This window comes from Homo sapiens, chromosome 1, assembly GCF_000001405.40.
Source record: "Homo sapiens chromosome 1, GRCh38.p14 Primary Assembly".
In the NCBI taxonomy this organism is placed as follows: domain Eukaryota; kingdom Metazoa; phylum Chordata; class Mammalia; order Primates; family Hominidae; genus Homo; species Homo sapiens.
In genome coordinates, this window is record NC_000001.11 from 222,164,602 (window position 1) to 222,186,393 (window position 21,792).

Consider the following 21,792-nt stretch of genomic DNA (forward strand, 5'->3'; position numbering starts at 1 on the left):
AAGAAAATCAGCATATCAAGGAGATATCTGCACCTCTGTATTTGTTGCAGTGCTGTTTACAATATCCAAGATTTAGAAGCAACTTAAGTGTCCATCAACATTCAAATGGATAAAGAAAATGTGATACATATACACAATGGAGTATTATTCAGCCATAAAAAAGAATGAGATCCTGTCATTTGCAACCACATGGACAGAACTGGATATCATTATGTTAAGTGAAATAAGCGAGGCACAGAAAAACAAACATTGCATGTTCTCACTTATTTGTAGGATATAAAAATCAAAACAGTTGAACTCATGGACATAGAGAATAGAAGGACAGTCATCAGAAGCTAGGAAGGGTAGTGGGGTGCTTGGAGGAAGAGGGTGATGGCTAATGGGTACAAGAAAATAGGATCAAATTTACCTAGTATTTGATAGCACAACAGGGTAACTATAGTTAATAATAACTTAATTGTGTACTTTAAAATAATGAAAAGGGTAGAATTAGATTGTTTATAATATAAAGGATAAACGCTTGAGGGGATGGATACCCTGTGTTCCATGATGTGATTAATATGCATTACATGCTTGTATCAAAATTTCTCATGTGCCCCACAAATACATATATAGCCACTTAGGTACCCCCCAAAATTAAAAATATTTTTAAGTGAGTGATTTGTGAAAAGAACTCAGTAATCGGCATTCAAGGTGGTGGATAGTTTTCAGAATTGTAATATTTCCATCCAAATGTTTGGAATCTTATAGGTGGGTTATTGGCTGAGTTGTTTTTGTTGTACTTAATATCTTTAATTCTTCCTTTCTTGCCAAGTATTTGAGAAAGCGGTCTGTTCAGAGACACTCCCATTCACATTTAACTCTAGAGATGCTCTGGAACTCTCAGAGCTGGGCACCTTCCCAATAGAAGTGGCTCCCCAATAGAATCACTCAAGCTCTACCTTCACAAGGGCCACTTAGTTTTCAACCTATTTTAAGCTTCTTCATTTTTTTAAAAAAAGCAATTAAGCACTTGATATGCTACCTTTTTAGGAGGGGATACTGGGAAGTCTCAGAGAAATAATGTGAATCCAGGCTCTGAGAGCTTGCAATCTAAAACCAATAGCAAGAATACAGACACCAATAGGAACAGAGAGAATAAATGGATGTCGAAAACAAGAATGCATTGTGCTGCTTGGCACTCTAGAGAATATCCTGGCTCGTAGCAGTGCAAATTGCTCTTACTTTAGAAAAATAACCCAGCTGAACATCTGCTTTGTGTGAAAGGTTAAGCTTTCCTCCAGGCCAGGAACTGGAAGAAGTCCTGAAGAAGGAGAAAGCAGTAGGGCTAAATTTTCTCTGCTTGAGGAAATTTGGAGTTTCAGAGCTGTTCAGGAACAGCTGGAGGCAAGAAGAGGGGGACGAGATACAAGAAGGATGTGGGGAACTGACAGAAAGGTTAGAGAGGTCCAAGCAGAAGCTGAGGCACCAGCCAACAAGAAATGCCCTAGTCTTGTGTTACTGAGAGTTGAAGAGGTAAAGCCTAGTGTGGGTCAAGGTGGGATGTTAGAAAGGATGGCACAGAAAGCTTTCATGCTAAAGCCAGGTGGGTCATTCATGTTCTTGGGTCCAGGGTTAATTCATACGAAGTCTTTGGGACATGTAAGAAGGAAAGCGATTCCTCGATTCCTCGGGCCAGTTCAATTGACATTGTAGTTAAAACCAATTGTTCTCTTTGAAAACCCTAAAATGATATGCCAGAGCAAAGCTGGTGACTCCAAAATCTAAAGAATGTTTAAAACTACAGGCCAGGCACAGTGGCTCATGCCTGTAATCCCAGCACGTTGGGAGGCCAAGGCAGGTGGATCACCTGAGCTCAGGAGTTCGAGACTAGCCTGGCCAACATGGTAAAAACCTGTCTCTACTAAAAATACAAAAAAATTACCCGGGCGTGGTGGCATGTGCCTGTAATCCCAGCTACCCAGGAGGCTGAGGCAGGAGAATCGCTGGAACCCAGGAGGCAGAGGCTGCAGTGAGCTGAGATCGCACCACTGCACTCCAGCCTGGGTGACTGAGCAAGACTCTATCTCAAAAAAAAAAAAAAAAAAAAAAAAAAAACCACAAAAAAAATCTACTAAGTACTTTTTAGACCCAACACAGACCCTCATAGGCCAGGGATGATTACAAGAGTATGTTTTTTGGAGATTTCAATACACATCCAGTGGTCTGCGCCTAAGCAACTTAAAAAATATATTGAAATTTCAGAAATAATTGTTGAGGCTCTTTGTCAAAAACAGTGGCACATGTTGTGTAAGGTAAATGCATACAATGTTATTTGCCAAATTAAAAACAAAAAACAGGACCAAATTCTGAATCCTTCTCCTGAGGTTGACCACCGTTGTTCTAAAGCCAGGCTTCTCCAACTGTTTCCATCTACTGATTAATTCAGAAGGAGAAGAGTTTTTATGAAGCAACCTCCATGTCAACTATAAATGGTTGCTGAAAGAAAGAAAATAAAAAATATATTACCAGAATAGAACAGAAATGTCAAGGATAAACCAAGAATCAGGGTGAGTTATTAACAATCTATGTGAAAAACGAGGCCTTGGCTCTCAGGTCACGCCACCTGGAGGCCACCCATGGTACTCTAATTCCCTGCTGGGAACATTGTCCTGGGAGACCAAATCATGAATCTAAGATAGCAATACCTCTTACAAAATAGGCAGGACATGTCAAGGCAAATGTGCCATTCATGCCCAGTGCCCAAAATGGGGCCTGTTTTCCCTGTTAGCGTGAGTCTGACTCATATCCCACATACTGAGTGGGTTGAGAATTGGGGTTTTGAGAGGTGAGTCAAGAGACTCCAGATGCCCACATGTTATTTTCACTGTGAGGCTGGACACTCATCATTAGACCATCCTCCAAAAGAGCTGTGTTGGTCACTTGTTCATTTCGGTGTGCATGAACTAAATCATAATAGTTTTTAGAAAGTGTATAAGCTGCCTATTAAAAAGTCAACCTCCAAAGTCACAATAGATTTAAGACTTGCATTGTGAAACAGGTGCTTAGAAAAATCAATCTATAGCAAGAGTAAATTAGCTGATTTTTAAAAAATTGTAATCACCCTAGTCTATTTTTATTCAATGAATGTGACATTAAAGACAGTGAGATTTGCTTTTTCTTTCTTTAAGGAAAACAACAAATGCCAGAAAAAGAAGGCAAAACGATGAAATGATCTTTCCAGGTTACTAAATTATTGGTCAAATTAATTATTCATTATTGTCGATGAATATTGATTAAACACATTATGAAGAACTATTTTCTTTTATTTCTTAGCCCTCTGTCTAAGCCTGAGGTCTTTAATCATTTATGTCCCTTTTCTACCAGAAAAATGCTTGTGAAGGACAGTCTGGTCACCTCTTTCTTACTCAAAACCCCCCATAGTTTCTCCCTTGCCGACCAAGTATGAAAGCTTTCTGACATTTTCTGACTCACTTTCACTCTTCTCTTCATGCTCTACACTGTACCTTCCTGGAACTACTCACTGTTGCCTATACAAATTCCTGCATTTCCTCTAACTCTTTGCCCATTCTGTTTCCTGATCCTGGAATGCCTCTTGCCCCAATCTTCATAATCTTCACCCACTTTACATCTCTTTTTCTCCCCATCTTCATTCTCTCCTCACAATGTAAAAATTAAATATCCATGTGGATATTTATCTTTGCCTTATATATAACAAATCCCTTTTCCAGTATGTCGTTTTTATCTTGTTTTGCTTACTAGATAATAGCCTGCAGAAGACTAGCTATGTTGGTTTTATCTTTGTAACCTGGTGTCTTCCCTGGTTTCTGGACCATAGTAGGTGTTCAATATGCATTTGTGAATAGAAATACAGGGGCAGCAAGAGAAGGAAGAGGGAAGGAGGAGGAGGAGGCAAGGAGGAAGAGCAGGAGGAGAGGGAGAGAGAGAGAGAAAAGAAGGAAGAGGAGGAGGAAGAGGAGAGGAAAACTGGGAGGAAGAAGGAAGTGAATGAAAGAAAGAGGGAGAAAGAAATTCAGTTTGTTCTAGTCTAATTGGCACTTAGGAAAGTTTCAGATGTGGGCTTTACCTTCCCTTGTCTGTTCTTTCACCTCCTATTCACTTCTCATTCACCCAAACTTTGTTCCCACCCCTCCACTGAAATGATCTTGCCAAGGTCAACAAAAGCCCCTTGATGTGGTTTGGATGTTTTCTTCTTTCAAAATCTGATGTTGAAATGTGACCTCCAATGTTGGAAGTGTGGGCTGGTAAGAGGTGTTTGGATCTTGGGGGTGGATCCTTCATGAATGGCTTGATGCTGCTCTCACAGTAATGAGTGAGTTCTCACTCAATGAGCTCATGTGAAAGGTTGTTTAAAAGAGCCTTGTACTTCCCCCCTCTCTCTCTTGCTGCCTCTCTCGCCATGTGACATGGTGTCTCCCTTTGCCTTCCACGATGATTGTAATCTTCCTGAGGCCCTCACCAGAAGGAGTTGATGGCACTAGGCTTCATGTACAGCCTGCAGAACCATGAACCAAATAAACCTCTTTTCTTTATAAATTATCCAGTCCAAGGCATGTGTATGTATTAGTCTGTTTATATAGGTATGTATTAGTTTGTTTATAGTGACACAGACAGACTAACACATACCTACTTGCCAAATCTGGTAATCACCTCCATCACTCGTTTCTTGGAAATCTCTCCACATCTGAATTTTGTGATATCATCATTCCTGCTTTTCCTTATATCTCCTTTGTTCTTGCATCTCTGACCCCTTTGCTGCATCCATTTCCTCTAACCATCCTTTAAATTTGGCGATTTTCAGTATTCTTCATCTTCCCTTTCCCCCTTTCATGCTGCATACTCTCTGGTTAAACTTATTCGTTCCCATGGCTTCAAATTAGTTGCTATAGTTAATAATTCCCAATCTACATTCCTAGCCTTCTCGTCTCCTGAACTCCATCCATATCTATGTTGCCAAGCATCTACGATACATCTGTTCTCAACCACCAACTTAAGTCCAGCATATCAAAACTAGAAGTTTTTTTTTCCCAAGATGGCAGATTAGAGATTTTCAGTGTGCCTCACTCATGTGGAGTTAGCAAGATAGTACATAAACGTCAACTCTGTGAGCTTTAATTCAAGAAGAAAAATAGGAATCCACGATAATTCTGAAGGACACCCCAGATCCCAGAGACGAGAACACCAGAAAACAGTCCCTGTGACAGCATCCATCTGATAAACATGAGTCAAGCCCCAGTACATGAGAGGGACAGAGATCCTCCCCCATAACTCTCCCTTCCAATGGGAATCTGAGCAACTCAGGCTTAGGGAGAGTATTTTGTTTCTCCCAAGCCCTGGAGCTAACTTGGGGAGAGGCTTGGAGATGCTGTGACAGAAAGATACCATGAAGAACTACAGACATTTTCTCAGACCCAAGACTAAGAGCAGGAAGCCATTTTTAATCTGGGCATATAAAAAGATCTTTGGTAATCTGGCAGCATGACCATGGAGGCACTTTAGTCGCAGGCCAGAGATTGGAACATTTGCTCTGGAACAGGGTAGGGGCCTTCACAGCCTAAACTATGGAAAGCATCTCAGCAGCAGGTGTTGGAACTGTGCTGTCCCCCATCATGAGCCTGGGGTGGGAGGAGAGCTGCTATACCTGCAATTTCTCCTGGGTGGCAAGACTTGCAGCCAGAGCCAGCTTGGCGACTTGGAACAGGTCTGCATGTGCCATGGCTGAATGCCTCATCTTGTTCCTCTGAGACTGCGGTGCAGCAAGGCCCTCTCTGTTCCACACTCAGGCAGGGCAGAAATCCAGGCATTTGGAGCACCTGCTTGCCTGGAACAGCAGATTGAGCTTCCCCACCCTTCATGGACATAGATTGTGGTACAGTGGGGCTCTCTCTGCTCCATACCCACACAGATCTCTGGGAATTCAGAGCACCCACTCACCTGGATCAGCATCCTGACCTGTACCACACTTTCTATACAGAGATTCTGATGCAGAGAGGCCCTGTCTGCTTCACATCCAGGCAGATTTTCAGGAATTTGTATCACCAGCTAGCCTGCATTAGGAAGGCTCATCAGTCCCACCCTTCCTGGACATATATCATGGTGCAGGGGTGCCCTCTCTGCTACACACGCAGGCAGATCAGGCATTTAGAGCACTGCTCTCCTGAATGAGAAGACTGAGCCACCCCACCCATCCTGTGCAGATATCTTGGTGCAGGGGGACCCTCTCTGCTCCACACCCAGGCAGATCTCCAGGCATCTGGAGTTTCCACTCTCCTAGATTAGGAGTTTAGGCCACCCTACTCCCCGTACAAAGAACTGGGGACCAAGGATGTTTCCCAGCTCCAGATCTAGGCACAACTCTGGGTACTTGGTGGCTGTCCACTGGATTCTACCTCAGCAGCAGTGATGGTGCCTGCTATCAGGGGACATATAAGTGAACCTGCCTAATCCAACCCTACCCTTCATGGCCCCTTCCACACTAGAACTGAGCAGTGAGCTGAGACCACTGTGTATTCCACATGTCAGCCCATTACCTGAGGCAACCGAGAGCTTCTGCCAATAAACAAGGATCAAGTATATAACCAGCTGTGTTGGCTGCAGCTAGATCTTACCTATAAGCACCATCTACTGGTCTGTAGGTTGAACTGCACAACCCAATATAAAACCTATCTAAAGAAGTGAATAGGGCTATAGAAGTAAAGCCAAAAGACCCTACGCAACATACTCTATAGTCACACTCCTAGGGAAGGTGAAAAGAGAAAGGGAAAGAAAAAAATAATATTATTATAGAGAAAGAAAAAGAAAGAAAAAAATCCTATCTACACAAAAATAATTATAAAAATTAGAAATGTCAGCATCTCTAGGTGAGAAGAAACTAGCACAAGAATTCTGGAACTATGAAAAATATAAATGTAGTGACACCACCAAAGGATTGCACTAGCTTTCCGACAATGGTCCATAACCAAAATGGAAGCTCAGAAATGACATATAGAAAAATGAAAGCATGGATTGCCAAGAGGCTCAATGAGATCCAAGACAAGGTTGAAAAGTAACACAAAGAAAAGTCTAAAGCGATCCAGGAAATTAAGAGATAAATATCTTAAAAATAAGTCAATTGGAGCTCTGGAATTGAAAAACTCACTTAAGGAATTTAAAAATACAATTGAAATCTTTATCAATAGACTAGACAAGCAGAAGAAAGATTTTCAGAGTTTGAACACTGATCTTTCAAACTAACCCAATTCAGATAAAAATAAAGAAAAAAGAATTATAAAAAAAATGAAAAAAGTCTTTGAGAAATTATGTGATTATGTAAAGCAACCAATTCTACAAATTACTGGCATTCCTGAGAGAGAAAAAGTAAACAACCCAAAAAATATATTTGAGGATAATTCAAGAACACTTCCCTTATCTTGCTAGAGAGGTAGACATCTATATACAAGAAATCCAGAGAACACCTGCAAGAAACTGTGTAAAATGAAAATCACCAAGACTCAAGACACACAGTCACTAGACTATATGAAGTCAATGTCAAAGAAAAAAATTTTAAAGGCATGCAGAGAAAAAGGACAGATAATTTACAAAGGGAATCTTATCAGGTTAAATGCAGACTTGTCAGCAGAAACCTTACAAGCCAGGAGAGATTGAGGACCTATTTTACACATTCTTAAATAAAAGGAATTCCAACCATGAATTTCATATTCCACCAAACTAAGCATTATAAATGAAAAAGAAATAAAATATTTTTCAGACAAGCAAGCACTATAGGAATTTGTTACCAGTAGACCAGCCTTACAAGAGAGTTTTAAGAGAGTTCTAAACATGAGAATAAAAGAACAATACCCACTACCACAAAAACACACTTATGCACATAGCCTACATATCCTATAAAACAACCACACAATAGAAACTGCAAAGTAACCAGCAAACAACTTCATGATAGGATCAAAACCTCTTATATTAGTCTTAACCTTGAATGTAAACAGTCTAAAAGCTCCACATAAAAGTCACAGAGTGGAAAATTGGATTAAAAAACAAGACCCATTCATCTGCTGTCTTCAACAGACCCATCTCACACATAATGATACCCATAGGTTCAAAGTAAAGGGTTGGAGAAAGATCTACCATGCAAATGGCAAACAAAAAAGAGCAGGGGTTGCTATTCTTATATCAAATGGGAAAGACTTTAAACCAACAATAGTAAACAAAAAAAGAAGACAGCTGGGCATTATGTAATGATAAAGGTTTCAACAGGAAGATTTAACTATCCTAAATATGTATGTACCTAACATTGGAGCACAAGAATTTATAAAACAAGTACTTCTAGATTTATGAAAACACTTAAACTACCACACAATAATAGTGGGAGATTTGAACACCCCACTGACAGCATTAGACAGATCATCAAGGCAGAAAACTATCAACAAAATTCTGGACTTAAATTTGACACTTGACTAATTGGACCTAATAGATATCTACCGAATATTCCACCCATCAACCACAAAATATCCATTCTTCTTATCTGCATATGGATTGACCATATGTTCAACAATAAAGTGTGACTCAAAAAATTAAAAAAATCAAAATCATACCCATACTCTTGGACAACAATGAAATAAAAATAGAAATCAATACAAAGAAGACAAGAAGATCAGTAAAAATCACACACTTACATGAAAATTGTATAACTTGATCTTAAATGACTTTTGAGTAAACAACAAAATCAAGACAAAAATTTTAAAAAATCATTTAAATAAATGAAAACAAAGACATAATGCATAGGCTGTCCTTGTACTGCTATAAAGAAATACTTGAGATTGGGTAATTTATAAAGAAAAGAGGTTTAATTGGCTCATGGTTCTACAGGCTGTACAGGAAGCATAGTGGCTTCTGCTTCTGGGAAGGCCTCAGGAAACTTACAAACTTACAATGGTGGAAGGGGAAGGGGAAGGGGAAGTAGGCACATCTTGCATGGCAGAAGCAGGAGCAAGAAAGTGAGGGTGGAGGTGCTACTCACTTTTAAACAACGAGATCTCGTGAAAACTCTATCACAAGCATAGCACTAGGGGATGGTGCTAAACCATTCATGAGAAACCGCCCCTATGGTTCAATCAGCTACCACCAGCCCCCACCTCCAACACTGGAGATTATAATTCAACATGAGATTTAGGCAGGGATACAGATCCAAACCATATCATTCCACCCCTGGTTCCTCCCAAATATCTTTTCTTCTCACATTTCAAAATATAATCATGCCTTCCCAACAGTACCCCAAAGTCTTAACTCATTTCAGCATTAACTCAAAAGTCCAAAGTCTCATCTGAGAAAAGCCATTCCCTTCTGCCTATGAGCCTGTAAAATAAAAAAACAAGTTAGTTACTTCCATGATACAACAGGAGTATAAGCATTTGGTAAATGTTCCCATTCCCAAAGGGAGAAATCAGCCAAAAGAAAGTGGCTTCAGGCCCCATGCAAGTCCAAAACCCAGCAGGACAGTCATTAAATCTTAAAGCTCCAAAATAATCTTCTTTAACTCCATGTCTCACATCCAAGGCACACTGGTATGAGGGGTGATCTCCCAAGACCTTGGGAAGCTCTGTCCTTGTGGCTTTGCAGCATTCAGCCACCCTCCCAGCTGCTCTCATGGACTGTTGTTGAGTGCCTGCAGTTTTTCCAGGCACAGGGTACAATCCGTTGGTGGATATATTATTCTGAGGTCTGGAAGGTGGTGGCCTTCTCACAGCTCCACTATGCAATGCCCTAGTGGGGACTCTGTGGGGTATCCAACCCCACATTTCCCCTCTGCACTGCCCTAGTAGAGGTTCTCCATGAGGGTTCTGCCCCTGTAGCAGGCTTCTGCCTGGATATGCTGGCTTTTCCATACATCGTCTGAAATTTAGATGGAGGCTCCCAGCCTCAACTCTTGCATTTTGTGCACCTACAGGCTTAACACCACAGAGAAGCCACCAGGACTTATGGCTTGCAACCTCCGAACCAGTGGCCTGATCTGTACTTGGGCCTCCTTGAGCCAAGGGCCCCTGAAGCCAGAGTAGCCAGGATACAAGGAGCAGTGTCCCAAGGCTGTGCAGGGCAGCGGGGCCCTGAGCTTGGCCCATGAAATCAGTTTTCCCTCTTATTTGCATCAGTTCCCAATAAGTTCCTCATCTCCATCTGAGACCTCCTCAGCCTGGCCTTCTATGTCCATAGCACTATCAGCATTTTGGTCACAACCATTCAGCAAGTCTCTAGAAAATTCCAAACCTTCCTTCATCTTTGTCTTCGCTGAGCCTTCTACACTCTTCCAACCTTTGCCCATTATCCAGTTCCAAGGTCACTTCCATATATTCAGGTATCTTTACAGCAGTGCCCCACACCTTGGCACCAATTTTCTATATTAGGCTGTTCTTGTACTGCTATAATGAAATATCTGAGATTGGGTAATTTATAAAGAAGAGATTTAGTTGGCTCAGACTTCTGTAGGCTGTACAGGAAGCATAGTGGCTTCTGCTTCTGGGGAGGCCTCAGGAAAATTACAATCCTGACAGAAGGTGAAGGGGAAGCAGGCATATCTTACATGGCAGGAGCAGAAGCAAGAGAGAGAGTGAAGAGATGCTGCATACTTTTGTTTATTTATTTATTTATTTATTTATTTTGAGATGGAGTCTTGCTCTGTCACCCAGGCTGGAGTGCAGTGATGCCATCTCGGCTCACTGCAAGCTCTGCCTCCCAGGTTCATGCCATTCTCCTGACTCAGCCTCCCAAGTAGCTGGGACTACAGGCGCCCGCCAACACACCCAGCTAATTTTTTTCATTTTTAGTAGAGATGGGGTTTCACCGTGTTAGCCAGGATGGTCTCGATCTCCTGACCTCGTGATCCACCCTCCCCGCCCTCCCAAAGTGCTGGGATTACAGGCATGAGCCACCGCACCCAGCCGAGATGCTGCATACTTTTAAACAACCAGATCACAGGAGAAGTCTATCACAGAACAGCACTATGGGGATGGTGCTAAACCATTTATGAGGAACCATCCAGTGGTCCAATCACCTACCACCAGGGCTCACCTCCAACACTGGGGATTAAAATTTGACATGAGATTTGGGTGGGGACACAGATTCAAACCATATCACATAACATAGCAAAATCTCTGGTAGGCAGCAAAAGTAATGTTAGCAGGAAAGTTTATAGACCTAAAAACATACCCCCAAAAGTTAGAAAGTTCTCACATGAATACCTTAACATTACACCTAGATGAACTAGAAAAACAAGAACAAACTGACCACAAAGCTAGCAGAAAAAAAGAAATAACTAAAATCAGAGTGGAACTGAATGTATTTGAGATCCAAAAGTCCATAGAAAGGATCAACGAAACCAAAAAAGTTGGTTTTATAAAGATCAACAAGATCAATAAACTGCTAGCTGGACTTACAAGGAAAAAGGAGAGAAGATCCAAATAAGCACAATTAGAAACAACAAAGGAGACATTACAATCAATCTTACAGAAATTGAAAAGATCTTCAGAGACTCTCATGAACACCTCTATGCACATAAACTAGAAAATCTAGAGGAAATTGATAAGAGTCCTAAAAATACACAATGTCCCAAGATTGAATCAGGAAGAAATTGAAACACTGAACAAACCAATATAGAGTTATGAAATTGAATCAGTACAAACAAACAAACAAACAAACAAAAACCCAGACCAGATGAATTCACATCTACAAAGAAAAGCTGATACCAATTCTATTGAAACTCTTGCAAAAAACCAAGGAGTTACTCCTCCCTAAATAATTCTATGAAGCCAGCATCACCCTGGCAAAAAGACACAACAAAAAAAGAAAACTACTGTCCAATATCCCTGATAAACATAGATGCAAAAATCGTCAATAAAATACTAGTAAACAGAATTCAACAGCACATCAAAATGTTCACCATGATCAAGTAGACTTTATTCCTCAGATGCAAGGTTGGTTTAACATATACAAATCAATAAATGTGATTCACCACATAAAAAGAATTAAAAACAAAACCCTGTGATGTGATCATCTCAATAGATGTGGGAAGTTTCCAATAAAATCCAACATCCTTTCATGATTAAAAAAAAAAAACCTCAAGAAAGTAGGCATCAAAGAAACATACCTCTTTTGCTGTGCAGAAGCTCTTTAGTTTAATTAGATCCCATTTGTCAATTTTGGCTTTTGTTGCAATTGCTTTTGGTATTTTCATCATGAAGTCTTTGCCCATGCCTATGTCCTGAATGGTATTGCCTATGTTTTCTTCTAGGGTTTTTACGATTTTGGGTTTTACATTTAAGTCTTTAATCTATCTTGAGTTAATTTTTGTATATGGTGTAAGGAAGGGGTCCAGTTCCAGTTTTCTGCATATGGCTAGCCAGTTTTCCCAGCACTGTTTATTAAGTAGGGAATACTTTCCCCATTGCTTGTTTGTGTCAGGTTTGTTGAAACTCAGATGGCTGTAAATGTGTGGTGTTATTTCTGAGGTTTATCTTCTGTTCCATTGGTCTGTGTGTCTGTTTTGGGACCAGTACCATGCTGTTTTGGATACTGTAGCTTTGTAGTATAGCTTGAGGTCAGGTAGAAGGATGCCTCCAGCTTTGTTCTTTTTGCTTAGAATTGTCTTGCCTATACAGGCTCTTTTTTGGTTTCATATGAAATTTAAAGTAGTTTTTTCTAATTCTGTGAAGAATGTCAATGGTTCTTGAATGGGAAAAGCATTAAATCTATAAATTACAGCAAAAGAAACTATCATCAGAGTGAACGGGCAACCTACAGAATGGGAGAAAAGTTTTGCAATCTACCCATCTGACAAAGGTCTAAAATCCAGAATCTACAAGGAACTGAAACAAATTTACAAGAAAAAAACAAACAACCCCATCAAAGCAAATGATATGAACAGGCACTTCTCAAAAGAAGACATTTATGCAGCCAACAAACATATGATAAAAAGCTCAACATCACTGATCATTTTAGAAAAATGCAAATCAAAACCACAATGAGATACCATCCCATGCCAGTCAGAATGACGATTCTTAAAAAGTCAAGAAGTAATAGATACTGGCGAGGCTGTGGAGAAACAGGAACGTTTTTACACAGTTATTAGGAATGTAAATTATTTCAACCATTTTGGGAGATAGTATGGCAATTCTCCAGGGATCTAGAACCAGAAATACCATTTGACCCAGCAATCCCATTACTGAGTATATACCCAAAGGAATATAAATCATTCCGTTACAAAGACACATGCATACATATGTTTATTATAGCACTATTTACAGTAGCAAAGACATGGAACCAACCTAAACACCCATTAATGATAGACTGGATAATGAAAAGTGGTACATATACACCCTGGAATACTATGGAGCCATAAAAAGGAATGAGATCATGTACTTTGCAAGGACATGGATGAAGCTGGAAGCTACCATCCTCAGCAAACTAACATAGGAATAGAAAATCAAACACCATGTATCTCACTCGTAAGTGGGAGTTGAACAATGAGAACACATGGACACAAGGGGGGAAACAACACAAACTGGGGCCAGTCGGGGGTTAGCGGGAAAGGGTAGGGAGAGCATTAGGACAAATGGCTAATGCATGTGGGGCTTAAAACCTAGATGACGGGTTGATAGGTGCAGCAAACCATCATGGCACACATACACCTATGTAACAAACCTACACATTCTGCACTTGTATCCCAGAAATTAAAGTAAAAAAAAAAAAAAGAAAGAAAGAAAGAAACATACCTCAAAATAATAAGAGCCATCTATAACAAACCCACAGCCAATATTATACTGAATGGGCAGAAACTGGAAGCATTTCCATCAAGAACTGGAATAAGACATGAATGCCCACTCTCACAACTCCAATTCAACATAGTACTTGGAAGTGTTAGCCATAGCAATCAAGCAAGAGAAAGAAACAAAAGGAATCCAAATAGGAAAAGAAGTCAGACTTTCTCTCTTCACTGATGATATGACTCTATATTTAGAAAACACTAAAGACTCTGCCAAAAGGCTCCTGGAACTTATAAACGACTTCAGTAGAGTTTCAGATACAAAACCAGTGTGCAAAAATTAGTAGCATTATTAGTACACCAATAATGTTCAAGCTGTGAGCCAAATCAAGAATGCATTTTCATTTACAATAGCCATTTAAGGCCGGGTGTGGTGGCTCACTCCTGTAATCTCAGCACTTTGGGAGGCCGAGGCAGGCGGGTCACCTGAGATCAGGAGTTCGAGACTAGCCTGGCAACATGGTGAAACCCCATCTCTACTAAAAATACAAAAATTAGCCAGGCGTGCTGGCGCAGTCCCAGAACTTGGGAGGCTGAGGCAGGAAAATCGCTTGAATCAGGGAGGCGGAGATTGCAGTGAGCCAAGATCTCGCCATTGCACTCCAGCCTGGGTGACAAGAGAGAAACTCCATCTCAAAAAAAATAAATAAATAAATAAATAAAAAATTTTAAAAAGCCATTTAAAGAATAAAATATCTAGGAATACACCTAACCAAGGAGATGAAAGAGCTCTATAAGGAGAACTAAAAAACACTGCTGAAAGAAAGCATAGATGACCCAAACAAATGCAAAAGCATTCTATGCTTATGGATTGGAAGAATCAATATTGTTAAAATGGCAATACTGCCCAAAGCGATCCACAGATTCATCGCTTTCTAACAAACTATGAATGTCATTTTTCACAGAATTGGGAAAAAAAGCTATTCTAAAATTTATATAGAGCCAAAAAAGAACCAAAACAGTCAAGGGAATTCTAGCAAAAGAACAAAGCTGGGGGCATCATATTACTGACTTCAAAATATACTCAAAGACAACAGTAAGCAAAACAACATGGTGCTGGTACAAAAATAGACCCATAGAGCAAAGGAACAAAATAAGAACCCAGAAATAAAGTCGCACACCTACAACCATTTGATCTTCAACAAAGTCGACAAAAATAAGCAATAGAGGAAGGACTCCCTGTTCAACAAATAGTGCTGGGATAGCCGGTGAGCCATATGCAGAAGAATGAAACTGGACCCCTACCTGTCCTCATGTATAAAAATTATCTCAAGACAGATTAAATATTTAAATGTAAGACCCCAAACTATACCAATCCTGGAGAAAAATCTGGGGAACCCCTTTCTGGATATCAACCTTGGGGAAAAATTTGTGACTAAGTCCTCAAAAGCAATTACAACAAAAACAAAAATTGACAAGTAGAACCTAATTGAACTAAAGAGCTTCTACACGACAAAAGAAACTATCAACAGAGTAAACAGACAATCTACAAAATGGGAGAAAATATTTGCAAACTATGCACCTGACAAATGTCTAATATTCACAATCTATAAGGAAATTAAACAATTGAATGAGGAATAACAAACAGCCCCATTTTAAAATGGGCAAAAGACATGAGCATACACTTCTCAAAAGGAGACATTCAAGAACCCAAAAAAAAGTGAAAAAATGCTCAACATCACAAATTATCAGAGAAATGCAAATCAAACCACAATGAGATACCATCTCACACCAGTCAGATTGGCTATGATTTAAAAAGTCAAAAAACAACAGATGTTGGCAAGGCTGCAGAGAAAAGAGAACACTTATACACTGTTGGTGGGAATGTAAATTAGTTCAGCCACTGTGGAGAGCAGTTTGGAGCTTTCTCAAAGAACTTAAAATAGAACTACCATTCCACCCAGCAATCCCATTACTGCATACATACCCCCAAAACCCAAATTGTTCTACCAAATAAAGACATGTGTACTTGTATGTTCATTGCAGCACTATTCACAATAGCAAAGACATGGAATCAACTAGGTGCCCATCAATGGTGGATTAGATAAAGAAACTGTAGCACATACATACCATGGAATACAAAGCAACCATAAAAAGAATGAAATCATGTCCTTTGCCGCAATATAGATACAGCTGAGGGCCATTATCTTAAGCAAATTAATGCAGAAACAGAAAACCAAATACCATATGTTCCCACTTATAAGTGGGAGCTAAACATTGGGCAGTCATGGACATAAAGATGACAACAATAGACACTGGGGACTACTAGAAGGGAGAAGGAAAAAGGGGGAAAGGGCTGAAAAACTAACTGTTGGGTACTATGCTTAGTACCTAGCTTACAGGATCAGTTACATCCCAAACCTTGGCATCACTCAATATACCCAGGTAACAAACCTACACAGGTACCCTCTGAATCTAAAATAAAAGTTGGAATTATTTTTTTAAATGAACCAAAAACCTTAACAGACACCTCACCAAAGAATATATACAGATGGCAACTAAGCATATGAAAAGATGCTCCACATCATATGTCGTCAGGGAAATGCAAATTAAAACAATGAGATACCACTATGAACCTACTGGAATAGCCAAAACCCAGAACATTGACTCCAGTAAATGCTGGTAAGAATGTGGGGCAGTAGGAACACTCACTCACTGCTGGTAGGAATGCAAAATGGTACCACAACCTTGGTAAACAGTTTGGCAGTTTCTTTAAAAAACAGACAAACTCTTACCACACAATTCAGCAACTGGACTCTTTGGTATTTATCCAGAGGAGTTTTAAATATATACCCCCACAAAAACTTGCATAGAGATGTTTATAGCAGCTTTATTCATAATTACCAGAACTTGAAAGCAACCAAGATGTCCATCAGTAGGTGAATGGATAAATAAACATTGATACATCAGGCAATAGAATACAATTCAGTGCTAAAAGGAAATGAGCTGTCAAGCCATAAAAGATATGGGGGAAACTTAAGTGCATATGACTAAGTTAAAGAAGTCCATCTGGAAAGAGTACATACTGTATGACTATACGCTATTCTGGAAAAGGCAAGACTCTGGAAACAGTAAAAAGATCAATGGTTGCCATGAATTAGCAGCAGGAAGGGGGAAAGGATCAACAGGCAAAATGCAGAGGTCAGTGAAACTACTCTATGATACTATAATGCTGGATACATCTTATTATACATTTGTGCAAACCCATAGAATGTATAATGCCAAGAGTGACCCCTCATGTAAGCCATGAACTTTGGGTAATAATGATGAGTTAATGTGAGTTTATCACTTGTAATGTAGCACTCTGATGAAGGGTGTTATTAATGGGGGAGGCAATGCATGTGCAGGGTGAGGGGATAGCTGAGTAATCTCTGTACCTTCTCAATTTTGCTATCAACCTGAAACTATTCTAAAAAAATTAAGCCTTTTAAAAAAAATGTACCTTTAATAAAAAATGTGAAGACGTTCTCATAGAAACTCTATGAATTTAGGATATGAATGTATAGTTATATATTTATATCTACACATATATAATGGATTAAAAATTAAATAGCACAGAAGCTATCATTTATAGAGTGAATTTCTAAAACTTATTTGATGCAATTAGGTAAGTGCAAATTTAAAACTAAAATGAAATACCTCCATACACCTATGTCAATTGCTAAAATTCAAAAGACTAATAATGCCACAAGTTGACAAGGATATGGAGCAACTAGGACTCTTATTCATTGCTGACAGAAATGCAAAATGATACAGCCACTTTGGAAAACAGTGTGGCAGTGTCTTATAATGTTACCAGTAATACCACTCCTAAAAATAAAAACATATGTCCACAGGAAAAAAAAACAGAATGTCCCATGGACCCCCATAAGTTTATTCCTATTACATACATATTCCACTGCCTAGCCAGCCCACAAGGCCAGAAAAAAAGAAGCTCTTTCTAAGCACTCCCTCCTGCAACTTATCATATCCAATCAGTTACTAAAGTTCCTTAATATTTTTGCATTCTCCATATTACTGTCTTCCTTGATGCAGAACATCATTACTTCAGGTCTAGGTGATATGGTTTTGCTGTGCCCCCACCCAAATCTTATCTTAAATTGCAGTTCCCATAATCCCCATGTGTCATGGGAGGGAAATGGTGGGAGGAAACTGAATCAATGGGGTGGTTACCCCCATGCTGTTCTCATGATAGTGAGTTCTCACAAGATCTGATGGTTTTATAGGAGGCTTTTCTCCTTTGCTCAGCATTTCTCCTTCCTGCCACCTTGTGAAGAAGGACATGTTTGCTTCCCCTTCTGCCATGATTGTAAGTTTCTTGAGGCATCCCCAGCCCTGCAGAACTGTGAGTCAGTCTAACCTCTTTCCTTTATAAAGGAAGTTCTTTAGAGCAGTGTGAGAATGAACTAATACACTAGGTTACCACAAGAGCTTGTAAAAGGTTTCCTAGTCCTTGGTCTTTATTTCATTTGAGTCATCTTCTGAACTTTAGCCAATTCATTTTACTTTCCTAAAATGTAAATATGTTCATTTCACATCCTACATATAATCCTTCAATAACACAACATTATCTTCAGGAAAAAACCTGAACTTCTTAGGTTTATGTGTAGTTTCATATTTCAAACCAATCTTATTATCTTTCATTGCTGGTTCACGCAGTAACCAATAACCATGGCCATTCACATCTAACTCAAAGTCAGGGAGTGCAGTGAGGGGCCAATGATCCTTTTAGCCTGGTTTCCATCAGAACTCCCACACAAAACCTAATCAGGTCTTAGTTATCTCTTTCCTGAGCACTTCCTATTAATATTTTGTTAGCCTTTCCCAGACTACATACATGCAGAAACATGATAGACAAAAAAAAAAAAATCTTTTTATTGAAATGCCATGGAGTTCTCCTGAGAGTAATACAGAATATGAAAAAACAGATTATAATGTCATCTTACGAGACTACCCACTTGTGTAACACAAAAGAACAAGGCCAAAAAGGCCTTATAGGCTCAAGCCCTCAAAAGCTCTTTCTCTCTGCCATCCCCTCTCTCTCCCACAATCCCACCCCTTTCCCTGGTAACACTTTTTTTTTTTTTTTGAGACAGAGTCTTCTGTGTCCAGGCTGGAGTGCAGTAACGCAATCTCAGCTCACTGCAACGTCTGCCTCCCGGGTTCAAGCAATTCTCCTGCCTCAGCCTCCCAAGTAGCTGCGACTAGAGGCGCACACCACCACACCCAGGTAATTTTTGTATTTTTGGTAGAGACGGGGTTTCACCATGTTGGCCAGGATGGTATTGATCGCTTGACCTCATGATCTGCCCACCTTGGCCTCCCAAAGTGCTGGGATTACAGGTGTGAGCCACCGCACCCGACCGGTGACTACTTCCTTATGTTATGCAAACTGGGTCACATCCCATCCTCAGAAAGATTGATTCTTCCCCACAGGGTACAGACATTTCAATCCTCAAACTCTCTTTATGTTTGTGTATTTGCCAAGTCAAGGAATGAGACCTCTGCCAGCTGTAAACAGAGGTTCACTTCTATGCAGACACTGCAATTCCAGGGAACACAAGGTGGTCTCTGGTCACATTATATGGACAATGGTGAGTCCTGAGTATCTGGCATCTCCACTAGTGAAAGCTATCCTTGAGTTCCTCACAATTTACCTAGGAAGCAAGCTCACCTTGCTAAGGGTAACATAAGCTACCCCATCTCATATGAAGAAAGGATATCCTTCCGGTTAGTAAGACTCTAAGCCCACCTGCCTCCTTGTTTTATCTGTCATTTCTTAGATTTTGGGTGAAATATTTGAGTTAATTTTAATCTTCCCACCCCTTACCCATTTTGTCTTATGAAACAATAAACCTTGATTTATTATTCTGAGAGCCTGCAACTCTCCTGAGCCTGACCTAAGTTACAAAAGTCAACTTACTGGCTGTAAATAGCACTAGGGTTAAATTCTCCCAAAATTGATAACTAGCAATTTCACTTTTGACTTTGCCTTCAGCAGAAGGAAGGGAGGGAAGATTTTCATTCATCCCACTCCAATTGTAAGAATTTCATAACCCACACCATTCAGTTCTCCAGCCTCACCTTCCACCACTCTGCTGCATAAGCCCTATGTGTCAAAATTACTTGCAGTTCCCATGCCATGCTCTCTAATGCCTCTGTACCTTTGCTCGTGTTATAATTTTCAGCTTGGAGAATCTTCTCCACATTTATCCTTGCCCCCTCCATTATTATTCCATCACTCTCCACTCCCTAGGTATCTTGTATTTAATTTATCTTGTCATTAATTAAAACCTTGGAAGCTTTTTCATGCTCTGTTTTTCTCTTTGAATTGGCTGACCATCCTGTGTTCCCATACTGACTAAATACATCTTTATCATTACAAGGAAACACTGCATTGCCACTGTGGAATGATTGTCCATCTCAGCCGTGAGACAGTAAACTCCTTGAGTTTATCCTAGAGATTGAGAATAATTTTGTATGTTTCTTTGTAACCCCAGAGTTTAGCAGTGCACCTGGTTCAGAACCATTGTTCATCAATCATCTTTTGAAAGATAGATAGATGATAGATAGATACATAGATACATATAAAAATAGATGATCGATAGAGAGATAAAATGATGTTAATAGTAAGCCTTTCACCAGAAAGAACAGAACTCATTAAAGGAGTTTGATTTTGTCTCCCAGCCAACTGGAGAAGGACGTTGCATTAGGAAAAAGCTTCATTCATTATATGAGGGCAGATTCTCTGAGATCTTTGCTGGCACATTTGCAAATGTGACTCTGGGAAACATGAAAACCCAACATGTGGAGCAAATAAATATTTTTGTGTGTGTGCATGCACATGTGTGTCATGATGTAAGAATGGAAGTAGACAGACAGACCTGGGGAAGCGAATGTTACATGCAGAGTCTATATGTATGGCATCTTTTTTACTGGGCCTCTCTTCCTAACTGGACAATCTGTGTTTTAGCACTTTCCAGAAGGTAACACCAATATTCTTCCTTCAGCAGACCCCCTCAGCTTGATATTCTCCCAGAAACATAGGTTTCTCTGAAGAGAAAAGATCAAAAATGAGAAGCAGAGACTTTTGAATTATATTTAGATTCTCTGCCTCATTTTCTTTGGACCCAGTATCCAACTTCTTTAGGGATTCTGGCTCAAATGCTAATTAATGCCCATACTCACAGATGACATAACTAAGACATCTTGATAAATCATACGGGATCCACATGCTGGAGTTAATAGAGACGTCCAATATACTAGAACAGTTGTTTCCAAATATGTTTTTCTCAACATACACTCACACAAAACGAAACAAGTCTCACAAAGCAATGTAGTGTCCCCAATGTCCTAGTGCAGTTTTTTTTCTTTTTTTTTTATTATACTTTAAGTTTTAGGGTACATGTGCACAATGTGCAGGTTAGTTACATATGTATACATGTGCCATGTTGGTGTGCTGCACCCATTAACTCGTCATTTAACATTAGGTATATCTCCTAATGCTGTCCCTCCCCCCTCCCCATACCCCACAACAGGCCCCAGTGTGTGATGTTCCCCTTCCTGTGTCCATGTGTTCTCATTGTTCAATTCCCATCTATGAGTCCTAGTGCAGTTTTAAGCCATAATAACTTCAGAAGGATAAATGCTATAAACTTAAAACAGCATCATTTGGAAATCTATTTAAATGTAATATATACTTACTTAGTTTTATGAACTTTGAAATATTACTTTTTTCGGTCAATGTTTTCCACATTCAATCAGAGGGACTAAAACTAAAAATTACAAATTACAAATGTATTTTTGAGAATAATCTAAAACTGAACTAAGTCTCTGGGGACACTATGTATATATTTTTAATACTTAGCATTCTCTGATATTATTCTCTATTCTACTTAATCGACACTATTGTATTCAATTTGTCTTTTCTTAATGCTAGTCTCACTCCAATAAATTGGTTTCAT

General features: G+C 39.6%; 1 annotated feature.

Moving 5' to 3' along the window:
• Positions 2,349 to 3,548: an enhancer, noted in NCBI's record as "CDK7 strongly-dependent group 2 enhancer chr1:222340292-222341491 (GRCh37/hg19 assembly coordinates)". NCBI's record gives its function as "activates an origin of replication core promoter dependent on BRD2, BRD4, P300/CBP, MED14 and CDK7 cofactors, with strong dependence on CDK7, by STARR-seq in HCT116 cells {active_cell/tissue: HCT116}" and the evidence as "EXISTENCE:reporter gene assay evidence [ECO:0000049][PMID:35650434]".